Source organism: Homo sapiens, chromosome 2 (genome assembly GCF_000001405.40).
Source record: "Homo sapiens chromosome 2, GRCh38.p14 Primary Assembly".
NCBI lineage: Eukaryota > Metazoa > Chordata > Mammalia > Primates > Hominidae > Homo > Homo sapiens.
This window is the reverse complement of record NC_000002.12, coordinates 68157877-68178138: the sequence shown is the minus strand read 5'-3', so window position 1 is coordinate 68178138 and position 20262 is coordinate 68157877. Positions and strand designations below refer to the sequence as shown.

Sequence of the window (20262 nt, the reverse complement as noted above, 5' to 3'; positions counted from 1 at the left end):
TACAGTCCCTACTACATGTCCATCACTGTAATAGGCACTTGAGATGCTCTGGCAAATGACATCCCTGGGCCAGATAAGTTGGGGATGTTTTATATCCAGAACACCTGTATCACCAGATGTGCACTAGTTACAATGGGTTCTGTGACTTGTTAAAACATCCCAGGAGTAAAGGTTTGTTAGACCTAAGCAAGTAGATGGATTTAAGGCCCAGAGCTCCTTTTCTTTTTTTTGAGACAGGGTCTTGTTCTGTTCATCTGGGCTGGAGTGCAGTGGGATGATCACAGCTCACTGCAGTCTCAGTCTTCTGGGGTCAAGCAATCCTCCCACCTCAGCCTCCAGAGTAGCTGGAACCACAGATGCATGCCAGTACCTGGCTGTTTTTGTTTTGTTAAGACAGGGTGTTGTTATGTTGCCAGGCTGGTCTTGAACTCCTGGGCTCAAGCGATCCTCCCATGTTGGCCTCCCAGTGTTGGGATTACAGGCTTAAGCCACCACACCCGGCCCTTTTTTTAAACCTACTTCTAACAGTCTTAGAAGTAGACAAGATGACTATCCAAGGAGCATGAGCTTTCTTGCATACCATTCCTAGTTCTAGGTGGCATGAGAGTTGGAGCCCAGCTCTTCAGGAGCGAGTGACTAGGAGGAAACTCCATGGGTCTCTTGCCAGCCACGAATACCTAAGAAAATGCTCTTCTCTCAGGCCCATCTCCCAGGCAATGTATCAGTGAATACATATGTAAAGTGTATGTCAGAAAATCGTACCAGATACTGAGTATCCAAAATATAAGCCTTAGGGTGGCAGGCAGACACAATAATTACAATATAGAGTGACAAGCGCCATAGAAACAGGTAAGGTTGGAAGTATTAGATTTAGTGTCTTGGCCTTAGAGAAGGGTTTAATGAAGTTATTTGACCCAGGTTAAGATCAACTGCCAGTATGATAGTCAAATTTATTACCTCTATTCCTTCTTCATACTTTCCCATCCCAAGGATTATTAATTGGGTTCCCCTAACATTTTCTCTCCCTTTCAAAAGCCCCAAGTAGTACTACTACTACTACTGGGGAACAGGAGATACAAACGCTTAACTAAGCGGCGGGCGGGGGTGGGGAGGAGGTGAAAGCAACTCCTTAAACCAACGTTCAGCATTCCAAATTTTAGCAGCTGCCAGGGAAATATATTTGCTCTCTTGTATTACTGACAGTTGTAATTACATAGGAAATCTTCAAAAGGGGAAGTAATTTGGATAATACCAAAACGTTATTTCCCTTTAATACAGATAACCCATATTTTCGCAGTTGAAATGATGCTTTTAACTTCCTGCCTCCTCCATTCCTTGAAAGTCGATTCAAAACATTTATGGTCACCTAGCAATGGTTCAATTCAGTCCAAGTGCTTGGAAAACCTGATTACAGGCATGGGCCCATTCCCCAGGAAAGTAAATGAAATAGTCACAATTTTGAATTTAACTTCCTGGGGAAAGGATGAAGGTAGGCAAGTACCTCTGAAAACCTGTACAGACTCCAGAATAAAAAAGTCCCAAATCTTTTTCAAAAAGGTATGAGTAAAAGGATCTGATATCATTGTACATATCCTTGCTCCATGCTGCTGTTGCCAAAGGATAAAAAAATAATTTGAGGTGGGACATACTCAGCAATTTCCAGTTGGATTCCCAGTTGAGTATTTTGCAAAAAAAGCATTAATGAATGAAATTTTTAAAAATATCTAAGTATATCCGATCCCACATACTGTACAAACTAGCTTAGAACAGTGGGATATGTAACTGATGATATAAAGGAAACAAGCTTAACAATTTTTCTTTTAGTTCCTACATGAACTTTCTAATACTGCCATTACTGAAGTTTACATGTTTTCATCAAGGGTTTTAGAGATGCATAAGAGAAGTATCAAAGTTAAGTTTAATAAAGTAAGTTCCTTCCATTTTGTAATGTATAAAATAATACCATTTAAACAGGCAGAAACTAGCTAATCTGCATTTATAGAGCATAGTTTTTTGGGTGGGAAAAAAGCATTCTTTCATCATTTCACCTTTACTAGAAGAAACAGACTTATGATGGTTCTTACTATTATTTTTCAACTTTAGAATTATTCATTCAGTAGAAGCTGTATTTCAAGTACCCAACCATTCTGTTTTTCACTTTCAATGTAATCTTCAAAAATTACATGAGATATTCAACATACTTTATTATAAAATAGGCTTTGTATTAGACGATTTTGCCCAACTGTAGGCTAATGTAGTGTTCGGAGCCCTTTTAAGGTAGGCTAAGCTATGATGTTTGACTTTTGGTATTTTCAACTCACAGTGGGCTTATCTGGACCTAAACCCATCATAAGTTGAGAAGCATCTGTATACCCAACATTGGTTATGTATACTTTCATTAAATACTCATTTGAAAAATAAAGCTTTCTTCACATTAACCCTGTGATGTAGGTCTTTAATTTTTGAAACTGCAAGAAACTGCAAAACAGGTTCCAAGATGAGCTCTTACTGATGTATATGGTATAATACGGTATGGCCAAAACCACTGCTTATGACCTCTCAAATATTCACACATCAAGGCCAGGCGCAGTGGCTTATGCCTGTAATCCCAGCACTTTGGGAGGCTGAGGCGGACGGATCCCTTGAGGCCAGGAGTTCAAGACCAGCCTGGTCAACATGGCGAAACCCCATCTCTACAAAAAATACAAAAAATTAGCCAGGCATGGTGGTGCATACCTGTAGTCCCAGCTACTAGGGAGGCTGAAGCAGGAGGATCACTTGAACTCAGGAGGCAGAGGCTGCAGTGAGCTGAGATTGCACCACTGCACTCTAGCCTGGGTGACAAAGTGAGACCCTGTCTGCCAACAAACAAATATTCACACATCACCCAGTATTAAGGAAGGGTCATCATTCAGAGAGGTTTTTCTGAGATAATCTATTAAATTACAATTTATAAAGAAATGTTTATAAATTTGTATGAAGTTATAAATTTATAAATATAAAAGTATAAATCCATATAGAGCTGTTTAAACAAGAAGTTTCCCTCTGAGAGGATTACAGACTATGCAATCTGCTACATGTGATTTCAGATAAATGATAAATTATACCTAATGTGTTAAGTATAACAATCAATTTTTGATATTTAAATTATCCTAAAACCTGTTGAGTGTGAATCCTCTTAAATCTTTCTTTTCTGTTTATGCTTCTGGCTGAGAATGGAAGAAGGGACGGAGGCTTCAAATGACTGAAATTGTTCAGCTGGTTTCTTGTGACCGACCACTGTAAAGTATTTTTCACCAGAGTCCAAAGGCAAGATAAAAAGTCTCTGACTTGAAATCAGAATCGATCTGCTGATCTGCTAGCCACAGCTCGAATATTGCCATAAACCTTGGAAGGAGGATTTCCTGCAAAGGGGAAAAAAAAGTATATACACAAATAAACTCACATTTATAGCGCCTACAGTTGTCCCTCAGTGTCTAAGGAAGACTGGTTTCAGGACTCCCACAGACACCACAATCCTTGGATGCTCAAGTCTCTTACATAAAAAATATGCACATTAACTACCCACATCCTCCCATATACTTTAAATCATCTCTAGATTACTTATAATACCTAATACAATGCAAATGCTATGTAAATAGTACTGTATTGTGTTTTAAAATTTGTATTATTTTTAATTTGCCATTATTTTTATATATTTTTTTTCTGAGTATTTGATCTGCCATTGGTTCGATCCGCAGATGTGGACCTTGCAGACAGAGGGCAGACTGTACGTGAAAAAGGGTCTAGAACCCTAAAAAGAACAGAGACATTTTAATTGGAAATTACAAAAAAAAAAAAAAAAAAAAAACCTTAACAGAAATAATACCCAAATATTCTCCAAAAAATATTTTAAACTTCTAAGAGCGAAAGGCACTGAGTTGTTAAAATATTTCAAAAAGAAGCCAATCACTGAGGCCTGAGAACCAGAAAATCCCAATTTTCTGAGCAAGCCGCTAAGATCCTGCAACTCTTATCAGAAAGTACTGACTTTGCTGCAGGATCAAGAAAATGGGTTAAGTGGATCAATTAAATTGCCTGAAGCTGTTCAGCAGCTCTTCCTTTGTTAAACCTAAAATGTGATGTTCCCTGCTATTCTGGAATGGTTTTTCTCTGCACCTTATCAAGAAGGCAGCAAAGATTTAAGCAATATTACCCAATAAACACCTTCTCTTCTCTTGCAGACAAATGGAATCTAAGCAAAAGTATTTCTACTTCTGGCTGGGCGTGGTGGCTCACGCCTGTAATCCCAGCACTTTGGGAGGCTGAGGTGGACGGATCACAAGGTCAGGAGTTCGAGACCAGCCTGGCCGATATGGTGAAACCCCGTCTCTACTAAAAATGCAAAAATTAGCCAGGCAAGGTGGCAGGCGTCTTTAGTCTCAGCTACTCATGAGTCTGAGGCAGGAGAATCGCTTGAACTTGGGAGGCAGAGGTTGCAGTGAGCCGAGATCGCACCACTGCACTCCAACCTAGGCGACACAGCGAGACTCTGGCTCAGAAAAAAAAAAAAAAAAAAAAAATTCTACTTCCTTCTCTAGGCCCACCTTTGCCAACTCCCAAGGGTTTCTACTTGCGATCTTTAATATTACCCTAAATTGCTTTGCAAATGTGGTTTTGACTTCCTCAATTAACTTCCTATCCCTCCCAGAGAAAACACCAAAGAAAGAAACTGCTATTACCCAAGATTAGGTTGCAAATGGCAGTTCTTGCCATCTTGATATTTTGGAAGGAGCCAAGGATGTGAACTTTCCTGAAAGAAATAAAATGAGACAAATTAGTGGCTGGGATGCAATGACTCACACCTGTAATCCCAGCACTTTGGAAGGCCAAGGCAGGTAGATCATTTGTGGCCAGGAGTCTGAGACAAGCCTGGACAGCATAATGAGACGCCATCTCTACAAAAAAATTCAACAGTTAGCTGGGTGTAGTAGCACGTGCCTGTAGAGTGCAACATGCCAACCTGAGTGACAGACCAAAACCCTCTCTCTTAAAAAAAAAAAAAAAAAAAAAAAAGACATTGTAGACAAAAAAGCATTTCCTTACCTAAGTCCTGTACTCCAAAAATGCTGGAAAATCATGATATTTGAGTCAGATTCTTTAATGAGGGCAGTGGTTATGGCTGCACAACTCCATGAATATACTAAAAACCACTTTTTAAAAGGGTGAATTTTATGGTATATGAATTGTATCCCAATAAAAAATTATTAGAAAAGACAAAGAATTGTTTGAAAAAGAAAAATTTGTGAAGATTCTTGGTTAATGATGGCTCCCATCCTATGAGTGCTTTATGTGCCAGGGCTTTCTATGCATGCCCTCATTAATCCTCACATGACCTTCCTGTTTTACGGATGAGGAGAGAAGTTTATAAGAAATCAAAAAGCCTGCCCAAGACGACACACTGGCAGAGCTGGTTACTGAATACCCATAAATGCAATACTGTACTCAATTTCAACATAATTGGTTTTCAACTGCAAAGTTTCCTAAAGATTATCTAAATTTCTTCAGGGCTCTGAGGATCATTTAGACCCTTTTAATGGGCATTCTTTACTGAATGACAAAACTGACAAGATACAATTTTGCCTTTTTGAGTCCATCTTCCAAACTGTTTTCACTGTGCCCTGTACAAATCAGCTAAAGCTTCTATATCTTCAACCCCTGTTAATATTCCCTTCACCTTCTGGCTTCAACTAAGGCCAGATCTCAAATGGTGGCCAGTTCTTCCTCCACAAACCAGGTACCTCTGGGCCTGGGGGAGGAGCAGGTGTCTTCATGCCACATCCAGACCACATGCTCTCCCTCTTGCCTCCCTAAAAACCCTTTGGCTTTGGATCTGCTCTGAGGCCACATCACCCACCACCCTGCCTGGCTGCGGTCCTCAGCTGCCCCTACAGATCACCTGTGAAGATGTTAGCTCTTGGCTTGCTTTCTCTTGCTATTCCCCATCACCATGCTCGATCATGTCAATACCCATGAAGATGATAATCCCAACATGCCAGCCTCTCAGGTCCTTGATATCCTTTATGCCAACATGGGGTCTTGTTTTCCACCCTACTCCAGCCTCTTCCATCCATGGTCACACCCTGGACTTGGTCATTACCAAAAACTGCAACCCCCCCATAATTTCGATTTCAAACATCCAACTCTCCCTTCACCACTTTCTGTCATTCCACTCATATCAACACAAATAATCCTTCACCCCTACCCCAGGACCTCCCATCTATGGATCCTACTCACCTTCACTGCCCTTCGCCCCCTCACATCCCACCTCCCTTCCTCTGCTCACAATCATCCAATGACTTCCTATTCACTCCGAGTAAAAGCCAAAGTCCTTATGATGACCTCAGTGAGGCCCTATTATTTTTGACTCATCTGTCACTCTCCGCTCTCTCCCTTTCATCCTTGGTCAAGCCTCCTCGCTCACTGCCAGATGTGCCCTCAACTCAAGATCTTTGTGCTTTCCCCTTCCTCTGTAATGCTCTTCCTCCAGACACCTGCAGATGAACAAAACAAACATTTACAAATGCTCCTTCCTCAAACTCCACTAAAATGACAGGAAAGATGTAAGCCCAAAAGGAAGAAGAGAGTAATAACAGTAGCAAAGTCCAAAAAGGTGGAAAGCAGATGGAGGAGATGGAACTGACTGTGCAGACCGAAGTCAACTGATGCCTAAATCAGCAGCAGGAATATCAAGAAGCAGAACTCTGGGAAAGAGACTCCAAGAGGCAGGGGACAGGGAACCCAGGATGATGGCTGTGCAGCCAGAATGCACGCAGAAAGCATGGGGGCGTTTTTGGAACAGAACATCTCCAGGAGAGATTTCTCAAATATTAGATGCATTCGAATACATCAAGAGGAGATACAGACAACGTATAGCTTCTTACTGAATTAGTACGACGAAAATGAAGAAAGGACATAGACACATAAGAGTTACTTCCTCAAGTGAAAACAATGCTGCAAAAGAAAGATAAGGCAGTCACAGTATTTCACCTGGCTCAGCTATAAGTACACTGAGCACTGATTTCTGTTTTCAGGTAATACTGAACACGAATCTAACAAAAACCACAAGGGGACCATCAGGAGGACAGAGAAGAATAAATCGGAGTGACAGAAAGGCTGAGTGTGTGCAGTGGAAGTAAGGGGGTGAAAGACAGCTAAATCTTCATCTTTGATGGTAGAAAGTCAATAGTGAATCTGAAAAATAAGAGGCTGTATATGAACAAAATATCTGGAAATACAGAGACAAATAATTTTTTAAGATAAGCTAAAAGAGTTGAAATTGGTTCCCCTGAAAAGGGTGAAATGGAGGTAGGCAGTAGAAATTTTTGGCTTTTTTTTTTTTTTTTTTTTTTGAGACGGAGTCTTGCTCTGTCCCCCAGGCTGGAGTGCAGTGGCGCAATCTCGGCTCACTGCAAGCTCCGCCTCTCGGATTCTCGCCATTCTCCTGCCTCAGCCTCCCAAGTAACTGGGACTACAGGTGCCCACCACCACGCCCGACTAATTTTTTTGTATTTTTAGTAGAGACGGGGTTTCACCGTGTTAGCCAGGATGGTCTCGATCTCCTGACATTGTGATCCGCCCGCCTCGGCCTCCCAAAGTGCTGGGATTACAGGTGTGAGCCATCACGCCCGGCCAATATTTGGCTTTTTAAAACTATGTGTATGTTTAACTTTGATTAAAATTATTTAAAACAGAGCATGACAGATGAGGAAATAAAGACAACAAGAACAGATGGGAGTAGTTTTGCTGCACAAAGAACCAAAGTAATGGGGCAATAGTTGGAAAGGAATGGAGGCTTCAAGACACAGAGGCAACATCATTTCCCATCTGCTGTATTAAACATACCTGGAACCAATTGTTTTTAGTTTTCTATCTGGCTCACATTATACTTACTGTATTTTGCCAGGTTATTGGCAACTCATCAAAAATAACTTTTATAGGTACACAACAGCCCATCTAACAGCTTTATTATAATTAATATAAACTGTTAAACGTGGATTTCCAACTAGCCTGTCTACAGCAAAAGCAAGAGATAGTACATCTCTTAATTTCAAGTAGTCTGTAATTCAGTTTGTAAGAAAACACAAAAGATATAAGTAATTCAGTAGCAACATTATTCTCATAGCCACAAACTGAAAACAACCCAAAAGTCCATCTACTGTGACTGGATAAACAAGATGTAATACAGCTGACTTTTGAATAATAGGTTTGAACTGCACAGGTCCAGTTACACACAAATTTTTTTCAACACATATACTGGAAGATATTTTGGAGATGTGAAAAAACCCAGAGAGGAGCTAAGTATCGTAGAAATGTCAAAAAAATTAAGAAAAAGCTACGTCATGAATGCATAAACTGTATGTAGGTACTAGTCTATCTTATTTACTACCGTAAAATATACACAAATCTATTATAAAAAGTTAAAATTAAAACTTACGCACACAAACACAAGCCATATATGATGCCATTTGTAGTCAAGAGAAATGGAAACAAATGCAAAGATGCAGTATTAAATCATAACTCCATAAAATTAACTGTAGTGCATACTGTACGACAACTTCACAGCCACCACCTATTGCTCTTGTGGTGAGCTCAGGTGTTGCAAGTATCCACTTAGAATGCCATGTGATGCTGATCACATGTGATGCTGATTATCTCCCATAAGCAGTTTTGACTCTCCAATAAACTGTCTATCACAGTAGAAAGTGATTTCTCGCAGTTCTTGCCTATTTTTAATCTTAGTGCAATATTGTAAGCTTTGGGACCATAGGACCCACCCAACGTGGGTCCCACATAAAGTGCCACTAGTGATGTTGGGAGTGCTCCAAAGCAGCACAGAAAAGTCATGACAGTACAAGAAAAAGCTGAACTGGCCAGGCGCAGTGGCTCACACCTGTAATCCCAGCACTTTGGGAGCCCGAGGCGGGTGGACTGCGAGGTCACGAGATTGAGACCATCCTGCCTAACACGGTGAAACCCCATCTCTACTAAAAATACAAAAAAATTAGCTGGGCATGGTGGCAAATGCCTATAGTTGCAGCTACTCAGGAGGCTGAGGCAGGAGAATCCATTGAACCCGGGAGGTGGAGGTTGCAGTGAGCCGAGATTGCACCACTGCACTTCAGCCTTGGCGATAGAGGGAGACTCCATCTCAAAAAAAAAAAAAAAAAAAAAAAAAGAAAAAAGCTGAATTGCTTGATAGGTACTGTTGACTGAGGCCTGCAGTTGCAGTTGCCCACCACTTCAAGATAAATGACTATACCATAGGACCATTGTAAAAAAAAGAAAAGGAAATTCATGAAGCTGTCACTGCAGCTATAACAGCAGATATGAATACACCTGCAGTTTTGCCAAATACCCCTTTATCTTATAAAATAAAAATAAAGCCCCTAGGCGCCCAGGCAAGACAGAACAGACTGTGGCAATAAGATATCAAATTGTAAACAAGACCTAAGACCACCTGGGCAAGGGTTAAGTCATACACCCTACACTTAAAGAGTAAATGACATTCTAATTGCCACAGGATATTTTTTTTTCTCTAGCAGCTTAACAAGCACTGGCCTTGTGATAAACAATATTAAAACAATTACAGCTCACCAACAGCTAGATACAGATTGACCCCAGCTTCCCTCTTCCCACACTCTGTTCCACAAACAGTAACTACAGCTTTGATTGGACAAGAGACTGATCCCAGTAACATCTCCTGATAAGAGATCACTGACCATGGACTGGTACTACCAGCTTCCAGAGGCAGTGCATTCAGTTGTCATGTCCCTGTCCCTATTTCATCTTGTAACATACAGGATCTAATTGTCAGGTATTTTAAATGTTAAGTCTCCACCCCAAAGCGACCAGGGGTTGTACATTTACTCGGTATACAAGCATTAGGACCCCTCTTATATTCAGAGCTCCTCCTATAACCTGTTAAATAAGTATACTTGGCCAACGCATTCAGCATAAATTCCTGTCTCATCCTTTCCTCCTTCAGAGTGCCTGCTTTTGGTCTCTGCTGAAGGCTATACTTTCCAGCCTGTCAGAATGGCCACCCTGCAGACTGCAACCCTTTCTAAGAAATAAAGTTTCCTCTCCAAATTTATAGATCTTGTGATTCTTTTCTTGACAATCTCAAATTGGAAATGCAGCTTTTATGTGGGTGCAGGATTGTTCTAAGAAAGACACATCTATAGAGTCTAATATGATGGAGAAAAAAATTAAGTCATTATATGACAACTTACAGCAAAAGGAAAATGAAGGATCTAAAGCTGGAGAACTTAACGCCAGCAAAGGATGCTTCGATAATGTTAGAAAGAGGTGGCTTTAAAAATGTCAGGGTAACAGGAGAAGCAGCTTCTGCTCACCAAAGGGCAGCAGACAAGTTCCCAGATGCCATTAAGAAAATCACTGAGGAGAAATAATATCTGCCTGAACAGGTTTTTTGTGCAGATGAAAAACGTCCTGTTCTGGAAAAAAATGTCACAAAGGGCAATTATTAGTAAAGAAGAGAAGCAAACACCAGGATTTAATGCAGGAAAGGATAGGCTATCTTTACTGTTTTGTGCAAATGCAGTCAGGTTTATGATCAGGACTGCCGTTATCTATAAAGCTGCTAACCCCGATCCTTGAAGGGAAAAGGTAAACACCAGTGGCCTGTCTTCTGGATGTACAAGAAGGCTTGCACAAGGAGAGCTCTTTTTCTGGATTGATTCCATTGATGCTTTTTCCCTGAAGTCAGGAAGTATCTTGCCAGTAAGGAATGCCTTTTAAAGCTCTTTTGATGTTGAGCAATGTCCCAGCCACCCAAGAACCCCATGAGTTCAATACCGAAAGGCAACAAAGTGGTCTCCTTGCACCCACTCTCTAATTCAGCCTCCAGAACAGGTAGTCATAAAGACCTTTAAGGTTCATTACACACACTACTCTATGGAAAATAGTGTCAATGCTATGGAAGAGAACTCGATGGAAAGAACATCATAAAAGTCTGGAAGGACCATGCCATTGAAGACACTGTCATTATTATGGAAAAAGCTGTGAAAGCCTCATGCCTGCAGCTATAAATTCCTGCTGGAGAAAACCATGTCCAGAGGTTTTGCATGACAGTACAGGATTTACGACAGAGCCAAACAAGAAATCATGAAAGAGACTGTGGATATGGCCAAAAGTGAGGGGTGAAGGGTTTCAAGATATGGATCACGGAGAAATCAAGAGCTAACAGACACTATGCCAGAGGAATTAACAGAAGACGACTTGATGGAGGTGAGTGCTTCTGAAGCAGTGCCGGGTGATGAGGAAGATGATGTAGAAGCAGCAGTGTCAGAAAACAAGGTGACATTAGACAATTTGGCAGAAGGTTTCTGATTATTCAAGATGCTTTTGACGTCTTTTATGACATAGACCCTTTTATGACGTGGGCACTGAAACTAAAAACTGTGGAAGAGGATTGGTACCCTACAGAAACATTTTTAGAGAAGTGAAAGGGCAAAAAAGTCAGAAATTACAATGTATTTCTGTAAAGTTCCAGAGTATGCTTGCCTCTCCTGCCTCGCCTTCCACATCTTCCTCCTCTGCCACCCATGAGACAGCAAGATTAACCCCTCTTCCTCGTCTTCCTTAGCTTATTCACCATGAAGACCTTTATGATAACCCACTTCCACTTAATGAAGAGTAGATAGATTTTCTCTTCCTTATAATTTTCTTAATAACATTTTTTCTCTAGCTTACTTTATGAAAGAGTACAGTATATAATACATATAACATACAAAATATGTGTTTATCAACTGTTTGTTATTGGTATAGCTTCCAGCCAAAAGCAGGAGTAGTTAAGTTTTGGGAGAGTCAAGTCATACATACATGGATTTTCAACCATGTTAGGGGTTCAGCATCCCTAATCCCTGCAATATTCAAGGGTCAACAGTATACCTGTGCAATGAAATAGTACTTGCCAATAAAAAGGAACTACTGATACACCCAACAAAATGGAGAAATCCAAAATAACATGCTAATTAAGAGAAGTCATACACCAAAGCCTACATACTGTGTATTTCCATTTATATGAATTTCTAGAAAATGCAAAATAAGAGTGACAGAAACAAGAGCAATGGTTGTCCCAGAAAAGGGTGGGGGCAGGCAACTGACCATAAAGATGCACGAGGGAACTTTCAGGGTAAGAGAACTGTATGAGTGTCATGGGACTACAATATACATTTGCCAAAAACTCATTGAACGGGATACTTAAAACAATAGAATTTTATTGTATGTAAATTATGCCACAATAAACTTCTAAAACGTTGGTTTAACTAGTAAATTTTAGGTTAACACTTACAAATATACTTATAAATTTACCAGTAATAAACTTAATGACAGACTATATAATTTCATTGGCAAATCAGTTAGTTTTAGATTTCTAAATTCTTTTTTTTTTTGAGACAGAGTCTCACTGTCGCCCAGGCTGGTTTCGAATTCCTAACCTCAGGTGATCCACCCGCCTTAGCCTCCCAAAGTGCTGAAATTACAGGTGTGAGGCACCATGCCCAGCCGTTTTTTTTTTTTTTTTTTTTGAGATGGAGTCTCACTCTGTCGCCCAGGCTGGAATGCAGTGGTGCAATCTTGACTCACTGCAGTCTCCGCCTCCCAGGTTCAAGCAATTCTCCTGCCTCAGTCTCCCAAGTAACTGGGATAACAGGCATGTGCCACCACACCCAGCTAGTTTTTTTTTTTTTGTTGTTTTTTTTTTTTTTTTGAGACGGAGTCTCGCTCTGTCGCCCAGGCTGGAGTGCAGTGGCGGGATCTCGGCTCACTGCAAGCTCCGCCTCCCGGGTTCACGCCATTCTCCTGCCTCAGCCTCCCAAGTAGCTGGGACTACAGGCGCCCGCCACTACGCCCGGCTAATTTTTTGTATTTTTAGTAGAGACAGGGTTTCACCGTTTTAGCCGGGATGGTCTCGATCTCCTGACCTCGTGATCCGCCCGCCTCGGCCTCCCAAAGTGCTGGGATTACAGGTGTGAGCCACCGTGCCGGGCCATGGATTTCTAAATTCATGAAAGCTTTCAGGGCTACTCAGCCAGTCCATGACTTGATGATTTAACCGAAGATTTTTTTTTGACTTTATAATTGCGCCAAAGTGGTACACACTCGGAATGCTCTTCAGTTTTCAAAGAGAAGTATCCTATGATATCAAATGAAGTATCAAATGAACTTCTGACTTATGAGATCATTAATTTACAACAGGTTTATCTGGACGTAACCCCACCATACGGTGAGGAGCATCTGTATATGGATTTTAAATTAATTAATTTTTTATTTTTTGGATACAAGGTTTCACTCTGTCACCCAGGCTAGAGTGCAGTGGTGCCATCATGGTTCACTGTGGTCTTGACATCCTTGGTTCAAGCAATCCTCCCACCTGAGCCTCCTGAGCAGCTAGGGCTACAGGTGTGCACAATCACACCTAATTTTTATATTTTTTGTAGAGATGGAGATCCCTATGTTGCCCAGGCTGGTCTTGAACTTCAGGGCTCAAGCATTCCTTCCTCCCACCTTGGCCTCCCAAAGTGCTGGGATTATGGGCATGATCCACTGCGCCCAGACTATATGTGGTATTTTTATTTTTATTTTGTTAGAGTCTCACTCTGTCGCCCAGGGTTGAGTACAGTGGCACGATCGTGGTTCCCTGCAGCTTCAACCTTCTGGGCTCAGGTGATCCTCCCACTTCGGCCTCCCAAGTAGCTGGGACTACAGGTGTGGGCCGCCACACCCGGCTAATTTTTGTATTTTTTTGTAGAGAAGGGGTTTCACTATGTTGCCCAGGCTAGTCTCAGACTCCTGAGATCACGCCATCCACCTGCCTCAGCCTTCCAAAGTGCTGGGATTACAGATGTGAGCCACCATGCTTGGCCATATTTTTAAATGTGGTGTGCATTTGCACATTTCCAGTTCAAAATAGCTTCTCCCAAGGCTCCATATTTCTGACTCTAGGCTCAATCCATAAAAGATCAAACAATATAATTATATGCCTGGCTTCAGGTAAAGAGGGCCACCAACACAGTAGTATAGTTATCCTTAAAGTGTAAAGAATGTACAAAATTTAGGTTCTATATAATGAAGAGTCCTTCAGTATGGAGCAAAATTGAGATATTAAATGAAATTATTTCAGAATTTAGTCATAGGCAGAACCCTCCTCCTCTCAGTCAACTGTTCAGTTTCCCAACTTCATGGCATTATATAATCTCTGAGCCATCTGCCAGTAAGATCCCCAGCCTGGGCAGCTTCAACCTCAGACAGGGGTAATCCCAGCTTCACTTCTGGCACCTTTATTTTAAGCCCCTCTCATCTTGTTTATGTTCACATATAACTGCTCTCTAGTTTTGCCTAATGTACGATATTCCCCTCCTTTTATAAAAGGCCTTAACATATATATGTATATACATAAAGTAGATATATACTTCTAAAGACTCACAAGGGCATCTGAAATAGTGATTGCTTGTTCTCCCCTAGTGATTTAATAGATTCCCTTGAGTAAGTATGTATGTATGTATGTATGTATGTATGTATGTATGTATGTATTTATTTATTTGAGACAGAGTCTCACTCTGTCGCCCAGGCTGGAGTGCAGTGGCATGATCTCGGCTCACTGCAACCTCCTCCTCCTAGGTTCAAGTGATTCTCCTGCCTCAGCCTCCCGAGTAGGTGGGACTAAAGGCGTATGCCACATGCCCGGCTAATTTTTGTATTTTTAGTAGAGAGAGGGTTTCACCATGTTGGCCAGACTGGTCTCGAACTCCTGACCTTAGGTGATCCGCCCGCCTCAGCCTCCCAAAGTGCTGGGATTGCAGGCGTGAGCCACTGTGCCCAACCCGAGATATTATTTAAATCTTCACCTGTAATAATTTCTTTTAATAGCATTTCCTCATTGTTAAATGAGAAAAGAATATATAATTTCTTAAATTTTCTCAACTTAAGCCTCTTTCAAAGTTGGTGACCATCTATTCACCCAAAAGTATACAGATGATTCCCAACTTAACACGGTTCGAACTGGGATTTTTCAACTTTACAAGGGTGCAAAGGTGATACACATTCAGAATGCTCTACTTCAAATACACATACAACCATTCTGTTTTTCATTTTTAGTACAGTATTCAATATTCAACACTCTGTCATAAAGTAGAATTTGTGTCGGATGACTTTGCCCAACTGCAGGCTAATGTGTGTTCTGACCATGTTTATGATAGGCTATGCTAAGCTATAATGTTCCATAAGTCAGGCATATTAAATGCATTTTAGACTTATGATATTTTCAATTTATGATGGATTTATGAGGAGCATCTGCACTGACAAAGATTTAGCAGCAACATTATGCATAAAATACAACTGTTATGACTTTCTTAAAACAAAAGATCAAATATAAATTATGACAATAATTTTCTCAAGATCAGATACTTACACATCAGCCAAAACTATCCTTGTCCGTGTCACATTCTCTATGGTGAATTTGGTTTTTCCTCCTTTGCCAGCGATTCTTCCTATTGCCCTGGATAGATGGTCTCCCTTTAGGGGTTTAACTAAACAAGAAAAGCAAGATCTCAGGAGGCAAGCCATTCTAGTGTACCACCCATTCCACATAAAGTTTAATCATAAACTAAATTTCTCTAAAGGACACAAAGTGTATATATATATATATAAGTTGCTAAAAATACAGCTCAATTGATGCTATTAGAAAACTGAGAGTCACATCACAATACAAAGTCAGCGACACAAGAGCGCAGACCAACACACACTCACCATCTGTAATTTCAAAAGACTCTAGGAAGAGGTCATCCAACCTGATGAGGGCAAGTGCATCCTATAATATAAAAACAAACACCGTGAAGCCCCTTCCATTTGCACACCTGAAAAAGAGTAAAGTGCAAAGCACTATGGAACTAAAATCCACAAACTCTAGAGCTAGAAAGCTTTTTTTTTTCCCTTGGAGACAGAGTCTTACGCTGTCGCCCAGGCTGGAGTGCAGTGGCGTGATCTTGGCTCACTGCAATCTCTGCTTCCCTGGTTCAAGTGATTCTCCCACCTCAGCCTCCCAAGTAGCTGGGACTGCAGGCATGCACTACCACACCCAGCTAATTTTTTTGTATTTTTAGTAGAGATGGAGAGTATCGCCATGTTGGCCAGGATTATTTTGAACTCCTGGCCTCAAGTGATCCACCTGCCTCAGCCTCCCAGAGTGCTGAGATTACAGGTGTGAGCCACTGTGCCTGGCCTTTTTTTTTTTTAATGCCTAATCCATTGAAATGTTCACATTGAATATTTTTAAAGTCCCCATTTTAGATATCATGGAATTACTCACCTCCACCTGAAAGCCGAGAATAAAAGCTTTCACAAAATCAGCTGCTTTTGTCAGAGCACTAACATCCTTGGTTTCTTTACAAGTCTGTTAAAAAACAAAAAAGGGTACAAAATACCGTTGAGAATCAAACAGAAAATGTCCTAACAAAATACTGGAAATGTCCTTTCCCATTATTGGAGAATTTCCTTCACCACCACCTTTCCCTAATATATTCTGTATGACACAGGTTCTGGTCAGATAAGTGCTGTACTTTATTTGCAAAACAAAACGTTCCCAGCTCCAAAGCTTGGCTGTTCCACCCAAAGAGTGTCAAATAACTAACCGCACTATATGATCAGATTTTGGGGTTAACAGCAAGACTCCTCTGGCACAACCCAATCTCTCCCATTCTGAAGAACCTCTACCTTCTGTCCATCCCTTCAATGCCCAATGTCCTCTTCTCTTCTCTCTCAAGGCAGTCTTCCCTGGGATTCCTGACTTAATCTTCTTAGTTATCATTTATATGCTGATGTTTCTTAAACCAACAGCTCCAGGCCTAACTACCTGCATGCACTGATTGGGGAAATAAAGAATGAATGAAGCACTGAACCTGTCCTCAAAGTTTATTTGAGAAATGCAGAAATAACTGTTATTCATAAAAAGCCTACCACTGTAAATAACACGTACTATAAATAACATGCTTTACACACCATAACTCTAACCTTCACAACAACTTTGAATGTTAAGTGATATGACTACCTTCGTATGTGAGGAAACTAAAGTACTAAAAAGCAAAAAAGGTAAGATTTAAACACAGGTCTGATTTCAAAACTGTTATTTCCACTGTCCCATGCACATTCACAGTCTAGTTGAAGAGACCACGTATTCAACAAATGTAAAACCATATGGGCTTGTGCAATGGGAGAGTCCCCAGAGCTTTCCCATTTAAAACTAGACCCTAGTTCCAATCCTATATGTGACCTTAGACAAGTCCCATAGATACTTTAGGTCTTGAGTTTTCTCATCAGTAAAATGAGGAGGTCAGAGTAGAAGATCCTGAGTGTTCCCTACTAGTATAATAGAAAATTTCCCTTATTAGACTGATGACTGTGGCCAAGTTTCCTCACATCTTTAAGATGGGAATATCCTGAAGACTAAATGATGTAGAGCATGGTGTAATACCACTGTGTGTCTGGTATATGGCAGCATCAACAAATGTTAGTGGAATCCAAAGTGATTATCCTGCAATAAATAGGACAATAAAGCACATGAAAAGTTTAGGCACTGAAGATATGACTGAAAAATGGACATACCATAACAGAGAAAGAACTTGAGCTAGACCCGGAAAGATACTGGAACTGAAGTATAAAGAGAAAGGAGTAGGGAGGAGCGGACCTCTTTCAAAGGCCAAAGCCACCAAAAAGTATGGACATAAACAAACTTTATGATCCGTGAGAGACAAACTTGTGACTGAGTCTCCTACTTGAAAAGCAAGTTAAGTCCAAAACTTTTTCCTTTAGAAATGTTGAAGATGCTCACGCCTGTAATCCCAGCACTTTGGGAGGCAGAGGCGGGTAGATCATGAGGTCAGGAGATCAAGACCATCCTGGCTAACACGGTGAAACCCTGTCTCTACTAAAAAATACAAAAAATTAGCCGGGCGTGGTGGTGGGTGCCTGTAGTCCCAGCTACTCAGGAGGCTGAGGCAGGAGAATGGCATGAATCCAGGAGGCGGAGCTTGCAGTGAGCCGAGATTGCGACACTGCACTCCAGCCTGGGCAACGGAGCAAGACTCTATCTCAAAAAAAAAAAAAAAAAAAAAATTTTTTTTTGTTTTTTGAAGATGCCAGGATGTCATAAAAGCATTGTGATCTGGGAAACTTAATCTGGCACTGGCAGATGGATGAGTGGAGAAAGGAGAGACGTCAAACAATGAAGCAAGGGAAACCTACAACGAAACCACTCCTTGGCAGGAAACCATAAAAGCCTGAATGAGAGAATGGCAACAGGGACAAAGAGGAGTTACTCTATCATGTTCTATGATATTTTACACTTTATCAACTATTTAGAATAGTGCCTTTCTTTGTTCCATTATTATATTCCATTAACAGAGATGAGACTATACCAGTCCGGATGATGGTAAAAGAATCCTTAAAAAGGAAAATATAATTAATTTCGGTTATCGATTCTGGTATGAAATTGGCACCCAGAAAAGAAAGCCCAAAGTAAATTTAAATGTCTAATTCCCGGATTGATAGCACAGAATTTAAAATATATACATAGGCTCGGTGGGGCAGCTCACGCCTGTAATCCCAGCACTTTGGGAGGCCGAGATGTGATCACCTGAGGTCAGGAGTTCGAGACTAGCCTGGCCAACATGCTAAAACCCAGTCTCTACTAAAAATACAAAAATTAGCCAGGTTTGGTGGCAGGCACCTGTTAACAGTGAGCCAAGATCATGCCACTCACTCCAGCCTGGGTGAAAGAGCAAAATAAAAAGATATATATACACACACACACACACACACACACATATATATGCATGTTTCTTATCAAAATAATACATTTTTTAATCAAAAGAGCACCATTAAAACACAGTCATGCACTGCATAATGACATTTTGATCAGTGACCAACCGCTCATACCATGGTGGTCTCATAACAGTATAATGGAGAATATACAGAAACCTGATATATGGCACTGGATACCGGCAATGCAGATCAAGTAGATGAAATGACTGATATTCAGTAATGGTGCTGGGACATTTGGTTTTCCATATGAAAAAAATATATAAACAAATATACACATACCATCTAGGTTTGTGTAAGTACACTCTATAATATTCGCACAAGGACTAAGTCATCTGACAAAACATATCCCAGAACATATTCCCGACGCTGACTGTATATACTTCTTGTAAAGCAGCAAGTGCTTATATTCATTATTTACCTGCTTCTGTTTATGGCAATCTCTTTACTCGACCTTTTCTCAATTTGACATAGAACATTATAAAAGATACACAGAAGAAGAGCCAGTATTTTGGTGTGATCTCAGAACTAATTTACAAATTCAATTAATATTTGTATCGAATGCAGATTTTTAAGGCATTTGGGAAGTTCAAACTCAATATGGTAAATTTTTAAACTGGACAAAAACCATACAACAGAAAAGTCCCATTAAGTAAAGCCTATTCATGCCTTTTCATCTCTGTAGGAGAGAAAGCCTGGTGTATTGGGAAATGATTGAGATTTTCCTTACCCTGATTTCTACATTCCTTGATTTCAAGTTAAAGCGTATCTGAAGTCCCAAATGTTCCACAATAGGAGTAAATATCTTCATCCAGTTTTCTTTCAATGGTGTGTATCTGTTAGCTGGGACTGGAATTTTCCTTGTTTCTTCTTTCCCACTCTGTAAATAAAAGAACACACAACTCAGAAGGCTATGGAGGGACGGTGATGGAGTTTAAAATGACATCTGATCCACAAAGGGCCTCCTTTAACTGAACTAGTTACACTTCAAAGAATCACTTCTCTCTGAGCATCACGGCAGAACAGCCCCACCGCAGCTTCAACATTCTCCAGAGGCCATCGGCTTGATCCGCGTCTGGCCCTTGCCTCGTTGCTGTCCTAGGGTCCCAGCCACATACCAGGAGCCCGTCCCCACAGAGGGGTGGGAAGACGGGCCTCTTCGCCGGCCTGGCCTCCTCTGTGTCCATGCGGCCCGCATCCCCGCCCTCTCCTGCTGCGGACAGCTGTTCAGCCTGTCGTTTCTTCGCCCGTCGGCCACCCTTGCGGGTGACCTGGGTAAAGCCCTCCTCTGCCCTGGCGCTCTGCGTTTCCATTTCGGATTCCATCCCCGGAAATCTTAAAGCGCTGCCGGCTGAAACACGTGCGCAGCTGCACCACGCAGAA

The 20262-nt window shown here is 41.0% G+C and overlaps 1 protein-coding gene across 4 annotated transcripts, besides 2 other annotated features; it reads right to left on the bottom strand.

Moving 5' to 3' along the window:
• Positions 1–1900: 1900 nt before the first annotated feature.
• On the bottom strand, positions 1901–20251 carry PNO1 (partner of NOB1 homolog). 4 transcript variants are annotated; one of them, NR_138146.2, is made up of 7 exons: positions 19998–20251; positions 19610–19759; positions 16373–16456; positions 15814–15874; positions 15476–15562; positions 4722–4792; positions 1901–3404 (listed from the first exon to the last, which is right to left on the bottom strand). NR_138146.2 is itself a non-coding variant. In NM_020143.4 (7 exons), exons 1-7 carry the CDS (start codon positions 20202–20204, stop codon positions 3337–3339), a joined length of 759 nt encoding a protein of 252 aa, NP_064528.1. In that variant the 5' UTR covers positions 20205–20251; the 3' UTR covers positions 1901–3336. The 4 variants fall into 4 exon arrangements, 3 of the variants coding, with proteins under 3 accessions (NP_064528.1, NP_001316845.1, NP_001316846.1); NM_020143.4 differs by having other exon boundaries at positions 15476–15593; NM_001329916.2 differs by lacking the exon at positions 4722–4792 and having other exon boundaries at positions 15476–15593.
• Positions 2352–2521: an enhancer, noted in NCBI's record as "experimental_59016 CRE fragment used in MPRA reporter constructs". NCBI's record gives its function as "activates a minimal promoter by MPRAs in K562 erythroleukemia cells, with activity observed for both the introgressed and non-introgressed 2:68402835 variant alleles {active_cell/tissue: K562}" and the evidence as "EXISTENCE:reporter gene assay evidence [ECO:0000049][PMID:34662402]".
• Positions 19940–20039: an enhancer, noted in NCBI's record as "active region_15947". NCBI's record gives its function as "activates an Ori minimal core promoter by ATAC-STARR-seq in GM12878 lymphoblastoid cells {active_cell/tissue: GM12878}" and the evidence as "EXISTENCE:reporter gene assay evidence [ECO:0000049][PMID:35858748]".